Consider the following 18,527-nt stretch of genomic DNA (forward strand, 5'->3'; position numbering starts at 1 on the left):
CCAATCCTGTTCCACCTGAACAAATTTGTGGCAATATGTGCTGAATGCTCCATTTCTTTGCTCTAAAGTATAAATGCACTGTGCACTACTGAAATAGGAGTAGTTTAAGTTGGTTGATGTAAACTTATTTACCATGAATAATATAGCAAGTGCTCCACTGATATAAATAAAATTTAAAGTTTAGGATTGACATTTTACTTAGAAATAAAACTAGAAATTTGCTTCATCCATTCTTTTTAAATTTTTTAATTTTAATTTTTAATGTTTGTGGATACATAGCAAGTGTACGTATTTATGGGCTTCATGAGATGTTTTGATATAGGCATGCAATGTGAAATAAGCACATCATGAAGAATGGGATATCCATCCCCTTAAGTATTTATCCTTTGAGTTAAAATGTGAAATCTTGTGATGATTTGAACACGGTGGCATAGTTAATTATAAAGAATATCAAATCCTTTATTTGATATGTCTATAGGTCTTTTAAACAAGAGAAAAAAACAAAAGGAATTAAACCAACCCCTGAACAACAGCAAACTTGGCAAGAAAAATGTAGATGATTTATTGCAATATATTATCTAAAAGTCTCATTAAAAATTTTAGCTTTCATGGAACAACCATGTAGTAGTCAGGGTTCTCTTAGAGGGACAGAACTAACAGGATATATATATATATGTGTGTGTGTGTGTGTGTGCGCGCGCACGCATGTGTGTGTGCAAAGGGGAGTTATTAAGTATTAACTTACATGATCACAAAGTCCCACAATAGGCTGTCTGCAGGCTGAGGAGCAAGGAGACCCAGTCCAAGTCCCAAAACTGAAGAACCTGGAGTTCAATATTTGAGGGCAGGAAGCATCCAGCATGGGAGAAAGATGTAGGCTGGGAGGCTAGGCCCGTCTCTCCTTTTCATGTTTTTCTGCCTGCTTTATATTCGCGGGAAGCTGGTTAGTTAGCGCCCACCAGAATAACGGTGGATCTGCCTTCCCCAGCCCACTGACTCAAATGTTAATCTCTTTTGGCAACACCCACACTGAAACACCCAGAATTAATACTTTGTATCCCTCAATACAATCAAGTTGATAAACTCAGTATTAGCATCACAAGTCCATATGATCTCACTACTGGGTATATATTCAAAGGAAAAAGTATCGGTATACTGAAAAGATGTTTGAACTCCCATGTTCATTGCAGCATTATTCACAATAACCAAGATATGAAATTAACCTAAGTGTCCATCAACAGATGAATAAATATAGAAAATGTGGTATATATTCCCAATGGAGTACTAGTCAGCCTTATTACAAAAAGAAAATTTCGTGACAACACAGATGAACCTGGAACATATTATGTTAAGTGAAATAAGCCAGGCACAGAAAGAAAACTACCTCTCAATCTCACTTACATGTAGAATATTAAAAAGTTGAAGATCATGAAAACAGAGAGTCAAACGGTGATTAGTGGATGGTGGGAGGTGAGGTTATAGGGGAGATGTTGGTTAAAGTACGCAAAATTTAAGTTAGGTAGGAGAAACACAGCCAAGAGACCTGTTTTTAAAAGTTTGGCTTTCAAATAATTCACTGAACGTGTCTGGTTTTCATTACTCTTTTCTTTCTGCATTCAAATGTGTCATGAAAATCATTATGTAGATAACTAGAGTTAAGCTCAGATTTGCTCTTTCTCGTGTAAAATGAATGATTATGATTTGCCATGATTTGTAAACAGAATAGTCCTTTTTTTATATCATTTTCTCTCTTCATCCACTAACCTAGCAAACGACAATGATTTAAATTATGGGTGGCACAGTATGTAATGAAAAATACGCATAACAAAAACTTTGTTTTACAATGTTTGGCCACTGAGAACACTTTAAAAAATATATGTAAAATAGAGGTTTTGTACGACGTTGGTCATGTTCACTATGCAGTTGTACACTTTCATGAGTGCACTGCCTCTTCCGCAAAAACACTCACTGTGACTTGATAAAAGCCATACGTTTGTTTAGAAAGTGAGAGACAGAAAATGATGCAGAAAGCAACGGCCAGCGCCTAATGACCGTGAAGAACTATGAGATCCGTCAGACTAATTCTTTCTTGAGAGGGACAGTTCTAGTAAATTGAAATTTGGTAGGCATAATTTAACAAAATTTCTGGTTATTCCTTCACTAAATGTTCATCAGTAAGCTTAGAAAATACTCTTTTTTTTTTTTTTTTTTTTTTTTTTTTGAGACGGAGTCTCGCTCTGTGCCCAGGCTGGAGTGCAGTGGTGCAATCTCAGCTCATTGCAACCTCTGCCTCCTGGGTTCACGCCATTCTCCTGCCTCAGCCTCCCGAGTAGCTGGGACTACAGGCACTGCCACCACGCCCAGCTAATTTTTTTGTATTTTTAGTAGAGACGGGGTTTCACCGTGTTAGCCAGGATGGTCTTGATCTCCTGACCTCGTGAGCCACCCACCTTGGCCTCCCAAAGGGCTGGGATTACAGGCCTGAGCCACCGCACCCAGCCGAAAATATTCTTTAAACTGTGAAAACAGTTTGCAGGTCTAGCCGCTAGCGTTAGGCTATTGATGATAGTCTTCATTTTGGGGTGCCAAGAGTTCATATTGTTTCAAATTTCATCATTGGCTTAGAAGATGGAAAACCACACACATTTATTATGTTTGCTGTTGACACTAAGCTTTATTTTTGTATGTGGTAAATGAGCAGTGTGGGCAAATGGGATAAACAATTATTGAAAAGGAGAGAAAGAAGAAATTGAAGACACCTTAGATTTGAAAAAAACAGTATCAATATAAAGTTGAGAATTATTTTTGAAAAATGTAATTAAGGATCCTTTCCTGGATTATGACTAACTACCTAAACAAAATCACATTTAGATCAATTAATAAAAGGAGTACGACTGATGATTTGATCTTTTGGTAAAATGCAGCACAGATTAGTTAGATTTTCTGGAACAACCAGGCAAAAACCATCGGTTGTTTCCTCAATTAGGAGCTCTGGCTTCCTTGGCCACACTAACCACTAGCAGCTAAAGATAGTTCAGCATTTAAAAAAAAAAAAATGCTATTAGTATGTGTTGTGGGCTGCACTGTGACCTCCAAGAGGGTATGTTCAAGTGCCAACTGCTGGCACCTGTGAATGTGATCTTATTTGGAAACAGGGTTTTTGCATATGTACTCAAGTTAAGATGAGGTCATACTGCGGTAGGGTGGACCCTAACTCCAATATAGCTGTATCCTTGTAAGATGAGAAGTAGAAACACAGACACAGAAACGGGTGTTCTACCCACTGACAGAGGGAATGACAGACAGAAATTGGAATGAGGCATCTACAAGGCAAAAGACATCATGGATTGCAGGCAACCACAAGAAGCTAGAAAGAGCCAAGAAACATTTTTTCCCCTAGAGCCTTGACCCTGTCAACACCTTGATTTCAGACTCCAGGAACAAGAGAGAATATATTTCTGTTGCCTTAGGCTACCCATTTTACGGCTTTTTGTTACTGTCCCCCAGGAAACTAATACAGTATGTCATCCATAAAAGAAAGAGTCACAAAAGTTTTTTTCAGTCCAGTGAAAGTAAATGAATATTTATATTTTATACACTTACACATTTGTAGGTAACACCTTGGAGCTATGATAGTAAGTCACATAAACAGAAACTCCATTTTGAAAAGCACTGATGAAGGAACTGCAAAAAATAGAGATACTGACTCACCTGAATATGAGCACCTGCATTCTTCACTGACATCACCATTATCCCCCTGAAACAGCTCTGCCAGCGTCTCTGTCTAGTTCAACAGCCCTCGGTGAATTCCTTTTACTTACAAAGGGAAACTCCATATTCTTCAGCTGGGCACACATATCTTTTACAATGTAATATCTTGCTTTTAAAAAATATATACACCATAGAAATTTATTACTCATGATTCTGGAGTCTGGGAAGTCCAAGATCGAGTTGCCAGCAGTAAAAGTGTCCTGTGAGGGCTGCTTTCTGTTTCCAAGATTGCATTTTGACCTCTACCTAATCTTCTAGTCTATATTGTGCTGTGCCCGAGTGGCACCAATGTTCCAGCTACACTAGATTACATGTCATCCTTCAATGTATCCTTCGTTTTCTTGCCCCTGGATATTAATTTGTGCTGTTTTATTTTGTTCTCAAGTAACCAAAACCCCATTCCAGTTATTCAAGGACTAATTCAAGTGCTGCTTTGCCTCATGAAGGCTTCCCCAATGCTCCTCATTGCATTATTTTTTCTGTCTTTATTTCCCTTATTCTTTGTACCTTCATTAGAGATTTAATAAGATATTGTGATTTATAATTTATGTATGTGTCTTGTCCTCATTTTATCAGACAAGATGGTGCTTATGATATTCTTTTACAAATCACTGTTAGCGTACCCTGGCAACCTGAAAACAGCTAAACATAAAATACAATCTGTTCCTTAGAACATGGAGGCTTGTTCAAGGAGGAGTGATCCCTGATTCATGAATGAGTGAGTGAAGGTAAGACTGAATGTGGAATCAAAATAAAACTGAATGTGTTTGTTCCTTAAAATATACCTAAAAATAAAGAATCAGCTGGCTTATTTTTATTTTTGACAATCTTAGTCAAAATCTTCTAATAAAAGTTATGATGTTAAGTTTATGAACTTTCTATAAAAATATATGAATTTAAAATTGGAGTCTTCTCTCAGAAATATTAGTATCAATTGTAACAATTTAATAATGTTGATTGTTTGCTGTGAACTAAATCTTGAGTTACATGTTTACATGGCTTTTACTGATTCATAAATTAACGAAATAGTTACAATCAACATAAATTAGAAATTCGTACAGGGCATAAATTAAAGGTACTTAAATATTTTATATCAAAAGAGAATTATTTAATGGAAATAGATTCCTGTTTGAAAATGCATGAAGATAATAAGTTTTAAATTTTTGAAAAAATCTAAATACAAATAACACAATGAATATGAGTTTATTTATGAAATTTGATTAGGTTTTATAATTTTAAAGATTATTCTAGCTATATAACCCTCACTTCTTTATGTAATTACTAAATATGAACTTATGAGTTCTTTATAAGAAAAACGTTTATTAATAAAGTAAACATAGTTCTTGGTTTTCAAAGAAGAGTCTGGTGTTTGGAGACAGAGAATGTTAAATCTAATACTTGCAGAAATTGTAATACTGAAGTTCCCTTTACAGAGAATGCCTCTTCATTCTATTAGAATGGAATCTTTAGAACCAGCTATAAAAGAGCTTAACAGTAACAATAGCACAATACATACCAGACAATATTTTAAGTGTTTTGCATATATTAACTGATATAATCCTCACAACAACCCTACGAGATAAGTACTGTCATTACCCATATTTCACAAAAGGAGAAACCATTTTTTACTTAGTGTAGATTAACTCATAAAGGTCATGTACCATATACCAAGCACATGATAAAAACACGATCCTAGTCTGGTTCTACAATCCGTTCTTTCTACCACTCTTCTCTAGAGTCCTCTAGTTTTAGGAAAACAACTCTCTGATCTGTCTCTTTCATAGGAAATCAAAGTCATGAGGACATATGTTTCAAACATTCAATAGCACACAGCACTCCAGGAGGAATAATTTACAAAGGGTTGTATAATGAACACTCCTCAGGATGTCTTCCTCTTTATATATGTATATGTATGTCACTTATCTAAAGTAAAATCATATGAAATAAAATACATGTTTTTATGTAGCATAATAGAGATCCATGATACCTACACAATTTCAAGTACGGTGTGACTTTCCATTCATCAAAATAAAGCATATATAAATACATGTACACAAACTTGTCATTGTTAATTTTAGTTACTTCTGATTTTCTTAAAACCTTTAACATGCTGTCCCTAAAATGATCATTTTTAGTATTCCCCTAAATGTGGCAACAAATTATGTGAAACTAATTAGAACTACGTTCAAATTTAAATTCACCATTAATTATTCTTTTAACCATTGGCAACATGAACTGCATTCCTTAATTGAATTTCCCTATTTGTAAAATAAAGACAGTATACCTGTTTGGAGGCTGTTGTGAAAAAAAATAAGATTAAATATATAATACATTCCTTGCAACAATTTGGACCTACTCAATCTATTTTCTCCTTTCCTCGTTCTTGTGACAGTGAATATTTGTCTGCTTTACTAATGAAAAATTATTAAGAATGTTATTTTAAGAAACATTAAGTAGGTGGAGGAAACATCCATATCTATGTTTAAAAATAATCATTAATCTATTTATTTTAGTACAAATGTAGTAATCCTGAGATATCCTTGGATCGACATATATTTTTCTTATGCAATAAGTTGCTGAAGCAAATATAGCTTGCTACCACTCAAAAAACTTGAGGCTTATCATATCATCCCTCCAAATATTTAAAAAGATTCAAAACATTCTGGCAGTTCATTATAAGACAAAGCATCTCAGTAATTCTTTTCAAAATGTACTGTTTATATGAACTCTCAGTGAATTACTTTTTATTACACTGCTTTGATTTCATTAATATAGTAAGTTAGTGCAGGATTTCTAACCTAGGTCATATTGATTCTGTCTGGATTCTTTATCCATTGAACCAAATGATCCTTTTTTATATTATACAATGCATATGTAGATATGTGAATCTGAAGAAGCTCTACTATTTCTATTGAAGCCCTTATCAAAGTTATATACATGCCCATATAGTGAATTGGGTTTGGGAGTTTTGTTTCTGTGTTTGTTTTTCTTGTCTCTAATAAGATTACTATCAGGAAACTACCTTTGTTATTCTTAGAAAGTTACCTTTGTAGAAAAAGGTAGTTTTTCTAGTAAAAGAAGGGGTGGGGCCAAGGTGGTGCCATTTTAGGGCTCCTTCTGTTAAAACAGCTGACTCTCAGTTGCAGGCAGCCCCACTCTCTGAGAAAGAAGATATTCAATCACACCCATTCTGTTTGAACGTTTTGGTGATAAATTTTACTCACCCCTGGTGGAGCAGAGCCAGAGAGAGAGAAAGAGGCAGAGATTCCATGAGTGCCCGACTTGGTTTTGGCAGCTCTTCTGGGTGGCAGCTTAGCCTTGATGATAACTGCTTATGGTCCCAGATAAACATTAACATGCAGCCCTGGAACTCTAAGCAAAAGGTCACCCTTGGTCGAATTTTTACTAAGAAAGGAAGCTTCTCCTTATTCAATGGCAGATGGTAGCATGTTTACATGGTACCTGTAGAGAGAATCAAGAGCCGTGAGTGGAAAGTGGAACAAGAGACATTCGGCCTAGTGTTGAGGCAACGCTTTCCAACAGTTGCTGCTGTCCAGCAACGGAAGTCACGCTCCACGAAGCTGTGAGTGCCTCCTCACAAGAATTATTCCAGCAAAGCCCAGGTAAACATCTGCCATGAATACTTTTCTTTAAATTTCACAATTTGTTTAGGCAAGTATTTAATTAATGCCTCACTCAGGTTGAGCACCTTTAACCTAAAAATTCAAAATTTGAAATGCTCCAAAATCTGAAACTTTTTGAGTGCCAAAATTATACGACGAGTAGAAAATTCTACACCTGACCTCATGTGATGGGTCACAATCAAAATACAGGCTCACACACACACACAGTTTATTCAATGTCCCCAAGGCGAATATAGACTCTCCCAGGCCCATTCAGGTGCAATACGTCTTTTCTGCACATGCCCAGATTCCCTAAACAAGCACACCCACAAAGGGTAATAAAATGGCACATGTGCAGGCTGGACATGCCAAGGGTAGATTCCCTATGATGCCCTACATGAGAACAAGACGTGCATGCATTACTCACTGTGATTTCTTGCTTATTCTCTACTTTGTGGTGAAAGAATATTGTTGAAAAATGTCAAAAAAGGCCTGAAGATATCCCTATGACTGACAGTGATAAGAAAAAGGGTAAGCATTTATGTTCATCTATAACACACAAAATCAGGCTGCTGGAGAAACTGGACAGTGATGTAAGTGTGAAATGTCTTATAGAAAAGCATGGCGTTAGAGTGACCACCATATACAACCTGAGGAAATGGAAGGATAAACTGTTGAAGTTCTATGCTGAAAGTGATGAATAGAAGTTAATGAAAAATATGGCTGGGGGCAGTGGCTCACGTCTGTAATCCCAGCACTTTGCGAAGCCGAGGTGGGTGGATCACCTGAGATCAGGAGCTTGAGACCAGTCTGGCCAACATGGCAAAATCCCATCTCTACCAAAAATGCACAAATTAGCCAGATGTGGTGGCAGGCACCTTTAGTCCCAGCTACTTGGGAGGCTGAGGCAGGAGAATTACTTGAACCTGGGAGGCGGAGATTGCAGTGGGTGAGATCCTTCCACTGCACTCCAGCCTGGGCAACAGAGCAAGACTCTGTCTCAAAAAAATAAAAAATAAAATAAATGAAATACAGGAAGAAATTAATGAAAAACAGAAAAACACTGCATAAAACTATAAATGAAGATCTTGACTGTATATTGAAAGAATGGATTCTTTAGCTTCTCAATGAACACATGCCACCTAATGATATGCTGATTATGAAGCAAGCAAAGATCTATCACAAGAAACTGAAAACTGAAGGGAACAAATGGAATGGTTGCAGAAATTTAAGAAAAGACACAGTATTAAAGTTTTAAAGATTTGTGATGATAAAACATCTGCTGATCATGAATCGGCAAAGTATTGACAAGTTTGCCAAGGTCATCACTAATGAAAATCTGACACTAGAACAAGTCTCTAATGCTGATGAACTATCACTGTTTTGGTATTACTGCCCCCGAAAGACACTGAATGCAGCTGACGAGACACCCTCTACAGGAATTAAGAATGCCAGGGACAGATAACTGTGCTGGCCTGTGCTACCGTGTCAGGCACAAGTTAAGTATAAACTTGCTGTGATATGCAAAATTTTGCGTCCTTACTATTTTCAAATAGTGAATTTCTTTCCAGTTCATTGTTATGCTAATAAAAAGCATAGGTCACCAGAGACATTTTTCTTATTGGTTTCACAAACATTTTGTACCAGTGACTTGTGCTCACCGCAGCGACTGGATGATGACTGCAAAATATTGTCATTCCTTTCTAACTGTTCTGCTCATCCTTCAGCTGAAATTCTCATCAAAATATTTATGCCATATATTTTTCCCAAAATGTGGCTTTATTAATACAACCATGTGACCAGGATATCTTTAGATCAAATAAAGTAAACATAAAACACTTTTTTGAACAGTGTACTAGCCTCCGTGAACAGAGGCATGAGTGTGGGAGGTTTTCAAAAGGAGTTTAGCATGAAGGATGCCATATATGCTATTGCCAATGCTGGGAACACAGCTACTAAAAATAGTTGTGCATGCCTGATACAACCTCTGGCCTGCCTTTATGTTCACAGAAGATAATGAACAAAGTATAACTTTAAAGGAGTTTGTATGTCAAATGAGAGAAAAATTATATCTGACTTCCTTTCATATGCAAAACAGATACCTTCGGAGCCCATCAGTAAGTGGGAAGAAGTGGGTATCACAGGAGTTTTTAACATTGGTAATGAGGATCCAGTTGTTCATTTATTGCCTGATTGTGAAATAGCCAAAATGGTTGTGAATCAAGTTGAGCATGACCATAATGACCATGTTAACAGTGCCTGAAAAGTGCCTATAGATGACATGACAAAAATGTGTGGTGGGCTTACTGAAGGACAAGAGCAGTATGTATCCATAACAGAACAAAACATCATGTCAGTTTATAAAATCAAAGAGAGACTTCTAAAACAAACAAAAAAACATTGTTAATGAGGCAGATGACTCTGGGAGAAACATTTTTAAAAGCCTTCCTGAAAAATCTCTCCTTATCTCTAGAGAATCTCCTTCCTGGTCTCTCAATAACTTTTGATGTTTCCTTAAATATATATATATGGAACTTACTAATTTACTTATATATATATATGGAATAAATGGACTGGTTGCAGAAATTTATATATATATATGTATATATATATATATAGTGTACTTTAACTCTTTAATCAAAACACAGCATCACACATAGAGACTGAAAGCCTGCCATTGTCAGCTGTTGCTGTTGTTTAACAGCAGATACAGGTATTCTGGCGATGCTACTGTGCTGTTAGTTACTCTGAACACATAATTTTTTCACTCTATTATGGTATTTTTTACTGTTCTGCACTTAGCTGTGAATAAGTATAAGGAAATGATTGCTTACTGCTTCTCAGTAGCCTGTAAATTCAGTCAGGAAAAAGGGTGATGTCAAACACCCACAGACAGCACACCCGGGTGGCAGAGGCAGTGGTGCCTTTCCTTTCTGATTGTTCAATGTACACACACTTTCTTTCAGGCACAAAATTGTTTAAAATATTTTATAAAATTACCTCAGGCTATGTGTATAAATGGATATGAAATATAAATAAATTTCATGTTTAGACTTGGGTTCCATCCTCAAATATTTCATTATGTATATACAAATATCTCAAAATCTGCAAAAATGTAGAAATCCCAAACCCGTTTGGTCCCAAGTATTCTGGATAAGGGATCCTCAACCCGTATGTGCTAACCTCATTTCGCGGGCTGGGATAACAGCCATGAGCAAAACAAAACACCGTCATCATGAATATTACATTCTAGAGGAAGAAAAAATTAAATAAACCCAGAAATACATAACACAGTTTAATTTAGAAATAAGCACTCTAAGAAAAAGTGAAGTCTGATAAAGGAATGGAGAGTCATGGTACTACTACCTTAGAAAGTTGATCAAGGAAGTTCTCTTGACAATTTGAACAGTAGCAAGGGGTAAATCATAATTCCTTATAAGCCATTGTAAGAGCTATAAATTTTATTCAAATAAAAATGGAAGGCACATGGTGATGAGGCAGGCCACATTGTTTTAACTTATGTTTGAATTCTGTACCACTCTCTTGTTTTTAATCCTCAGCTTTGCCTTACCCAGAATGCCAGGACAAATGTTCAGGTTATTGTGGGTATTTATTTATTTATTTATCTATTTATTTATTTTTATTTTTCTGAGGAAGAGTCTCACTCTGTCACCCAGGCTGGAGTGCAGTGGTGTGATCTCAGCTCACTGTAACCTCCACCTCCTTCCTGGGTTCAAGCGATTCTCCTGCCTCAGCCCCCTGAGCAGCTGGTCTACAGGCTCACACCACCACGCCTGGCGTGGCCTCCCAAAGTGCTGGGATTGCAGGTGTGAGCCACCACTCTTGGCTATTATGAGTATTTAAAATGAGCCAACCAGCAAAATTGAGTATAAATCAAATATTGAATATAATTTAAAGTTATGAATTGCTTCATTATTTAATTTTGTCTTAAATAGTTCACACTGACTTAATTTGAAAATTTTCAAATGTGTAAACAATAGAGAGATGAGTATAATAAACTCCATATGTCCACTACCCAGTTTAAACAACTATCAGACTATCCCAATCTTATTTCATTTGTCATCCTACCCACTTCGGCCAACCTCAGGTAAAAGTGAAACGATGAGCAAATGTCTTACCATTTCACTCTTAAAATTTTTAGAATGTAAGAACTTTTTGAAAAAATAACCATAATATCATTAACACTACCAAAAATGTTAACAATCATTTTTTAATGTTATCAAATATGAGGTGTTCAAATTTCCCCAAATGTCTCATAAATATATGATTAGAATTGATGTACTTTAATTAGTGTCTTCATTGCGTATTGTCAGTATGTCACTAAGTCTCTTTTAATCTACCTGTCACTCTTTTATTTTAAACATCAATTTACTTGTTGAAAAAAGTGTGTCATTTGTCCCATTATTCCTCTACATTCTACATTTTGATAATTGGATCCCCATGATATCATTTCACATGTTGCTCTGTTTCCTGTGTTTTTTATAAACTGAGAGTGATTTCTAGATGTTTGATCAGATTTGGTTCAAGATTCTCCCCCCATGTTACATGTAGTCAGTCACTCTCCCCTAGGGCCCACCCAGGCGCTCACCTACCTCCCCAACTTTAAGAACTGCTTAAGATACCATCCCAAACATGAGAATAAACTAGTAAAATTCACAAAGCAGCTGAGAATTGTCCTTTATTCAGCTGAGTCTTCAGAAAATCACAGTAACTGTGGTTCATTAATGTTTCAGGATATTCTTCATTATCCCAATCAATATTCAATTGGAAATATTTATAAAAATAATAATAATGAAGATATCAGATAAAAATATTGTTGAACAAATGTTGCCATTATCCTTTTAATCTCTGTTATCGAAAAAATCCTAGATTATTGTTGTTGAGGCCTTTGGAGTTCCATTTAATCTTTTTCAACTTTTATTTCTTTTTTTGGAAACCCACTTCTAAATGTCAGTTTTCCCTGAAATCCCACCTTCAACTCACTTTCTCTAGCTACCATATGCACTTACAGTGCCTATTCTCCTTCATGAAGGGAACATTTTAAAATCTATTTTTGATTATTACTATGGAAACTCAGAGGTTAGATACATGATTGCCTGAATGAAGTGTTCACCTCCATTTTTTCTTCTTTCCATAATGTTGTTCAATAGCAACTGCTGACTAATGACACACACATTAGCCCTTGGTTTGAGACACACACAAGTTAGAGGTGGTGTTTGCATAATGTTTTTATAGAAAATAATAGGAATACAAGCACCTAAATCCTTTTCTCTCACTTCCCATGGCTTGTTCATTTATAACTTGTTTCAGAATTGCCCTGTGCTGTTTCTCTCTGACCTTCTGTTCTACAATAATAAACACTTGGATTAACTATCTGTGTTCTAAAATGCCAGCTATTTCCAGTTTGAGATGTTTAAATAAGTGATTTCCTTAATTTGCAGCTATAGTTCTTTTTTAACCCAATTTTAAAGTGAGTTTCTTTATATACCTTCTCGCCTTCTTCCTCCCTGACTTTCTACTGCTCAGCAATCTTTAAAATTAAACAAAGCATTCAGGTGAAAGGGAAAAAATGAAGTCATGTTATTTGTTTCTATATTTTGAAGTCTATTTTAACTTTATATTTGTTATTTTATTCTCAAATGTATATTTCCTTTTTTTCCCCAACTATCACAAAAAGAAACTGGAATATAGTACATCTCCTTTCAAAACAAAACTGGATATTGGAACTTATCATTATTTCTTACACGCCTGCAAGGTATTTTTTTTTTTTGTACTAATAAAAGGACTCAGGTATGTTGAATTCATCCATTCAAATGTGTACACATTGCTTTTGCTCTCTATTGTGTACATTTGCATATAAAGCCTAAGCATATCTTTGCTCCTTTATTAACAACAGATAAAAATATGTATTGAGCATTTATTCTGTGTCTGGCACTGTGTTATTTGTTATTAATACAGTGGGAGAGGAACAGTTATTGTCTTTAATATTGTTGAACTCTAGAAAGAAAACCACTGAATGGATAACCCACTCTCTGTCAAACGTTCATTCCCTTCTCATTCTCAGTGAACAAAATTTGTCCAACTGTCACTTATAGAAAACCTAAACTGTTTTCAAAGGAACATGTATGGTCTCTCGATTCTTCACTTATGTCTCATTTTCTCCCAGCTTCACTTACAAGTTTTATATATTGGCTGATGACATGTGGTACCGAGAGCAGCAAGGCATTAGAGAAAGTGAAAAGTCAAAAATATAAACCTGCTATGAAAAAGTCAGAGGCGAAAAGCTAGATTTAGACATCTAGTGGACCTTGGTTTATTTAGACCTTTCCCTGTAATATGTTTAAAACTTTAACAGAATGACATCCCTAAAAGTCAAAATTCCATTTGTGCAATTTACAAAAAGTGAGAAATAGATTTGTTACAATCTTGATTTTGGCTGATAAATGTATGTTTCATGGTAGGAAAATATAACTGGGACTCTATGAGCAACAGAAATCTGTGAGAAGACCCTCTATAGCAGATGACCCTAAATTGTTCTTTTCTCCCATCCTACCTCCATACCCACACCTGCTGCTGTTCATACCAAGAATGAATCTACAAAGTGCAGACAGTATCCTTTTTATGACTTCCCCACAGCTTTCAGAGCTTCCACAAAGTTTTCATTAGTCTCTTTGAAGTTCAAAATGTGACCCCGAACACATTGTCGTATTGAGTTGTAGATTCCCGTTTATTACTAAAGAGGCAGTAGCAATAAAGAGACACAATGTATTATAAGATTTTCCTCAATGTGTCATTGGACTGTGAACTTGGCTCTTGCTCCATTTTAAAATTTACCAGTGTTCTCTTGTGTACTCTCCGTTCTTGCATCCTCTCTCCCAACCATTTCTAGGAAAATGAATTCTTTAAGGAATCAAAAAATCATAGAATATTATAACTAAAGGAGACCTGAGAGATTCTGTTTTCTGATCTTTTAATTTTTGAGAAGGAACTAAGATCAAATTTTCTGTAATTTGACAAGCATTCCGACCTAAAAACAGTATTCATAAGAAGCATAAAGATTACTAGAAGGAGACCTTCTCAGGCAGAATGACATTCTAGAATGATCTGCAAGTCCCTGAAGGTAATAAGGCAGCTGTTTTATTGCTTAATCCCCAAGTCATGTTCAGGTTTTCTCTTCTTATTTTGAAAAAGAATGTTGCTCTAAAGAGACAGCGATTATTTTGCACAGTGAAAGAATGGAGATGAGAAATACAGGATCCCTTTTAAGTAATATTATGTGTTTAACTTTTATCTAGGTAGTTTTGAAAGAAAAACAGGTTTAAGTGCATGAAATTATGTATCTATATCATATGACTTTCTTTTAATATAACGGTTATAAAATTTTCATACAGTGTGATTGCAAGCCAGTGTTTCCTGGGGACATGCGTGCATGTGAATATATATTTCAGTGCTTTTACCCATGTATGTACATATATGTGAGTGTTTAATGAGTGCATCTGCCCATTGAATGAATTTCACTTCATTCTGACAATAGAATTGCCTGTTCAAAGGGAGGAAAAAAGATTAATATAACTAAAAGGAAAAATAAAAAGTTAGAGTGACAATTTGTTAAGTGTTTACTAGGAGCCAGGCACTGACCTGGTGGCTTTGCATGCATCTTAATTAACCTTCACAGGAGCACTAATAGGTCGATATTTTTCTCTTCATCTTCCAGATCAGAAAAGCTTGAGGCCTTAGAGAAGTTAAGTGACTTTTCCAGCGTCACATAGATGGCAGCAGTAGAGTGTGGATTTCTACCCAAATCCAACTGGTGGCAAAAAACAAAAAATAGCTAAATGTAAAACGATGTTTATCATGCCTAAGTATGTTATATCAATTAACCCATTTTATGATTCCAGAACTTGATACAGTTGCTATTGCTATTCCTGTTTTATATATGGGAAATTGAAAACCATTTAAAGTTTAAGTAACTTGCTACAGTTAAAATGACACATCTGGGATATAAACCAGTAGCCTGGTTGGACTATATACTTGAAGTCACTTATATACACTCCTGTCCAAAGTGGGTATCTACCTTTTCCTCTCCTTGTGGAGAGGAAAGAACAGAGAACAGAACATATTCACATTTTGCATGTCATTTTAGATTTAAATTATCCTTAAAATTATATTTTACAAAAGGTTAATAACTGTCACTTTGGAAAGTTCTGATGTTTATCATTCCAGAGGCATTCCTTTTTTTATATTAAAAAAAAACTTTATCATGCATCAGGGGGTTCCTTTAGTTTCTACACTCTGTAAAGAGACATTGGCATTAGATTTAGAATACATTGTAATTACTTATGTGAATTGGAACATACAGCACTGTGTCAGTTAGATATTGTCCAGTAGCCTTCTGTAGTAGAAAACAGAAACAATAATGACACACAAAAGAATTTTTTGAGAAGGCAGTCCACAAGAGGCATGGAAGCGCACCAGTATGACCTGAAGGACCCAGGCACTTTCTGTATTTTGGCTCCAAGGTGTCCACTGGGAGTTGACTCATCATTTTTTTAGAATTTTTTTTCTTAATTTTTAATTATTGTGGGTACATAGTAGGTATGATGTTTTGGGGGTACCTGAGATGTTTTGATACAGGCGTGCCATGTAAAATAATCACATCATGATTCCCACATTCCAGATGAAAGAGGAAGGTAGGAAAGGTAAGAGTGTGCTCCTCCCAGCTGGGTCAAGTCTCTTTAAGAGGCGTCTCTGAAAGTTCCATACAACATTTTTCACTCACTTCTTATTGGCCAGGAATGAATCATACTGTAGTACTTAGCAGCAAGGTGAGTTGGGCAATGTAATATTTTATCTGAGCTCATATGGTGGTTTTACCTCTTTAAATTTCCTATGTATTACAAAAAACAAATATATAGCTATGGCAGTAGTTCACATCTTTATTTGTGTTATTTTGAAAATAAATAAGCAAATTTTATTTATGTCATCATGTTCTCTTTGAATTTAAAAAGATCCAATTCTCTTATAAAGCGGAAAAACAATAAACTTAAATTCCCTGGTGCATAGTGTTGAGCCATCACTTCCTACATATTTAATTAGAAGCTAAAGTCAGTCTTTGGCCATAGGGATCAGAGATGAATAACAGTTTATCCTTCTCTCAAAAACCTAAAATTTTTTTGAAGGAGAAAGACGTACAAACTCATCATAATACCCAATAGAAAATCTATTTAAGAAGTAATAGCTGTACACCAGAGGGAATAAAACTAACTCATTTGTGAGCCAGGGGTGACCACAAGAAGAAGAGGTTGGAAAAACTTCCCAGAGGATGTGACGTTTGATCTGGACTCAGAAAGTTGAGTAAGATTTCACTGCAAAGCAAGGAATGAGGAACCCAGACATGAGGAATAGGTTTCCAAAACCTTATTACATATCCAGTGATGTTTAACATATAATGATAGCTTAATACTGTGGCATAAATGTATGGTCAGAAGTTCAACATTTCTGTGAACAAAGTTTTACTGGAGCACAGCCATCCATTTGTTTATGTATGTTCCTACTACGTGAGCAGAGTTGAGTAGTTGTAACAGGGACAGTATGAATTGCAAAGCTGAAAATATTTACAAAAGGGGTTTGCTGACTCTTGATATCAATTAAGACATTTGCACAGGTATAAAAAATGTACTGATGATTTCAGGAATTAATTAAAATGTACATGGTTAAACCTTCCCAAACTCTCTGTCTGCAATTACCTAGCAAAGCAAGGTAGAGGGTTAAAGGTGGGTACACGACAGTCAGGGGATAATTTAATAAACTAGCTTGACATCTCTAAGAAAATATCTAGCATTGTGGCCTATACTACAATCTCCCAGATTTTACGCTTCTCACTTTTGTATACCCGGGGATTTGCATACTAGGACATTGGAAACTGCCAAAATGATAGACATGAAGCTCATCCTTTTGCTAGAAGAGATATAAGACAAAAATAGAAATAGAGAGGGGAAAGGAAGTGAATTGCAAAGTATATATTTCCATTTAAGACTCCTTTTTTCTTAAAGTTTCTGGCTTCAGGTTTAAGTACCTTTGATCTGAATCAGTCTCTCCCTTTTCCCAGCGCTCTGATGCATTGATACACTTGACAAGATCCATGCAACTTGAATGGAGGGGGAAAATCAAGAGATGAATATTTTGCAAATAAGCAGGTCAGCCGAAAAGCCTAAGAACAGACTCAGAGCACCCAAGGACTCATTCACATAGGGACCCCTTATTATCTTATAATCACAATATAAATACCTCGTTAGTCCCTCTCCATGTCAGGTGATTCCACCGAACCTGGGAGTGGCTGCTTCCCTTCTTCCCTTTCTCTATTACACGTTCCAATTAACCCTCAATGAGCTGCATCATTGGTCCTCATCGCATCAGAAGGATTTCCAGGCCAGGCGCAGTGGCTCATGCCTGTAATCCCAGCACTTTTGGAGGCCGAGGCAGGCGGATCACCTGAGGTCAGGGGTTCGATACCAGCCTGGCCAACATGGTGAAACCCCGTCTCTACTAAAAATACAAAAATTAGCCGGGCGTGGTGGCAGGCACATGTAATCCCAGTTACTTGGGAGGCTGAGGCAGGAGAATTGCTTGAACTTGGGAGGTGGAGGATGCAGTGAGCCGAGATTGTGCCACTGCACTCCAGCCTGGGTGACAGACCCAGACTCCATCTCAAAAAAAATTTCTAGTACTGTGATGATAAGTAGTATAGCATCCTATAAAGAGTAGTGGGCTGAGAATCAGAGTGCTTATAGTCACTGGATTTTACAGCTGGAAGGGATCTTACAAGTTATCTAGTCAAAATTCTCATTTTCCTCTGTAAGAAACTCAGGTCCAAATCAATAATGTGACCAATCTTTTAGTCCTGGTCTATACCACTGTGGGACCTTGGAGCCTCTAATTCTCATCAATCTCTGCTTTCTAAATGCAAAATTTGCATAAATCAAATAATGTCAAGAAACCTCTACATTATAGGATGCTAGTAGTCCACATCTTGACAAAACAAAACAAAACAAAACAAACATTTTAAAACATTTAAAAAGCACTTTTGAATTTTAAAAAGGGCCTTTCTGATTT

General features: G+C 36.1%; 1 protein-coding gene across 29 annotated transcripts in view, besides 1 other annotated feature; it reads left to right on the plus strand.

Annotated features, from left to right (window-relative positions):
* The window catches only part of ROBO2 (roundabout guidance receptor 2), a 1,743,290-nt gene that overhangs the window by 595,652 nt on the left and 1,129,111 nt on the right, over positions 1 to 18,527 (plus strand). The window lies entirely within an intron of this gene.
* Positions 14,567 to 14,736: an enhancer, noted in NCBI's record as "experimental_71246 CRE fragment used in MPRA reporter constructs". NCBI's record gives its function as "activates a minimal promoter by MPRAs in K562 erythroleukemia cells, with activity observed for both the introgressed and non-introgressed 3:76566129 variant alleles {active_cell/tissue: K562}" and the evidence as "EXISTENCE:reporter gene assay evidence [ECO:0000049][PMID:34662402]".

This window comes from Homo sapiens, chromosome 3 (genome assembly GCF_000001405.40).
Source record: "Homo sapiens chromosome 3, GRCh38.p14 Primary Assembly".
NCBI classification, from domain to species: Eukaryota; Metazoa; Chordata; class Mammalia; order Primates; family Hominidae; genus Homo; species Homo sapiens.